Raw genomic sequence first — 1660 nt, 5'->3', positions numbered from 1 at the left:
TAGAACTGTTCCAAATGGGAGAAATTGGCCAAAACAAAGGAGTTACAGTGTCCATGCAAGTCTGAAATCCAGCAGGGCAGTCAAATCTTACAGCTCCCAAATGATCTCCTTTGACTCCATGTCTCACATCCGGGTCACACTGATGCAAGAAGTGGGTCCCCATGGTCTTGGGCAGCTCTGCCCCTGTGGCTCTACAGGGTAGAGCCTCCCTCCCAGCTGATTTAATGGACTGGCATTGAGTGTTTTCACCTATTCCAGGTGCACAGTGCAATCTGTCAGTGGATCTACCATTCTGGGGTCTGGAAGATGGTGCCCTTCTTCTCACAGCTCCACTAGGCAGTGCCCCAGTAGGGACTCTGTGTGGAAGCTCTGACTCCACATTTCCGTTCTGCACTACCCTAGCAGAGGTTCTCCATGAGCACCCACCCCTGCAGCAAACTTCAGCCTGGGCATCCAGGCACTTCCATACATCTTCTGAAGTCTAGATGAAGGTTAACAAACCCCAATTCTTGACTTCTGTGCACTTGCAGGCACAACACAACATGGAAGCTGCCAAGGCTTGGGGCTTGCACTCTCTGAAGCCACAGCCCAACCTCTACATTGGCCCCTTTCAGCCCCAGCTGGAGTGTCTGAGATACAGGGCACCAAGTCCCTAGGCTGCACACAGCCCAGGGACCCTGGGCCAGACCCATGAAACCATGATTTCCTCCTGTGCCTCTGGGCCTGTGATGGGAGGGACTGCTGTGAAGATCTCTGACATGCCCTGGAGAAATTTTCCCCATTGTCTTGGGAATTAACATTCAGCTCTTTGTTACTTATGCAAATTTCTGCAGCCAGCTTGAATTTCTCCTCAGAAAATGGGGTTTTATTTTCTGTCACATTGTCAGGCTGCAAAGTTTCTGAACTTTTATGCTCTGTTCCCTTATAAAACTCAATGCCTTTAACAGTACCCAGGTCACCTCTTGAATGCTTTGCTGCATAGACATTTCTTCTGCCAGATACTCTAAATCATCTCCCTCAAGTTCAAAGGTCCACAAATCTCTAAGGCAGGGGCAAAACACCACCAGTCTCTTTGCTAAATCGTAACAAGAGTCAGCTTTGCTCCAGTTCCCAACAAGTTCCTCCTCTCCATCTGAGACCACCTGAGCCTCAACCTTATTGTTGACATCACTATCAGCATTTTGGTCAAAGCCATTCAACAAGTCTCTAGGAAGTTACACACTTTCCCACATTTTCCTGTCTTCCTCAGAGCCCTCCAAACTGTTCCAACGTCTGTGTGTTACCCAGTTTCAAAGAAACTTCCACATTTTCGGGTATCTTTTCAGCAACCTCCCACTGTATTGTTACCAATTTACTGTATTAGTCCGTATTCACGCTGCTGATAAAGACATACCCGAGACTGGGCAATTTACTAAAGAAAGAGGCTCATTGGAATTACAGTTGCTCATGGCTGGAGAGGCCTCACAATCATGGCAGAAGGTGAAAGGCAAGAAGGAGCAAGTCACGTCTTAGATGGATGGTAGCATCAAAGAGACAGCTTGTGCAGGGAACTCCCATTTTTAAAACCATCAGATCTCATGAGACTCATTCACTATCACAAGAAAAGCACAGGAAAGACCCTCCCCCATGATTCAATCACCTCCCACTGGGTTTTTCCCAT

The 1660-nt window shown here is 47.8% G+C and overlaps 1 annotated feature.

The window, feature by feature from the left end:
• Nucleotides 423–924: an enhancer, noted in NCBI's record as "H3K27ac hESC enhancer chr4:44853871-44854372 (GRCh37/hg19 assembly coordinates)". NCBI's record gives its function as "activates a minimal SCP1, AML or CMV promoter by ChIP-STARR-seq in naive H9 embryonic stem cells {active_cell/tissue: H9 hESC(naive)}" and the evidence as "EXISTENCE:reporter gene assay evidence [ECO:0000049][PMID:30033119]".

The sequence above is a fragment of the Homo sapiens genome, chromosome 4 (assembly GCF_000001405.40).
Source record: "Homo sapiens chromosome 4, GRCh38.p14 Primary Assembly".
Lineage (NCBI taxonomy): Eukaryota > Metazoa > Chordata > Mammalia > Primates > Hominidae > Homo > Homo sapiens.
The sequence above is the reverse complement of the archived record's forward strand: the minus strand, read 5'-3'. Positions and strand labels throughout refer to the sequence as shown.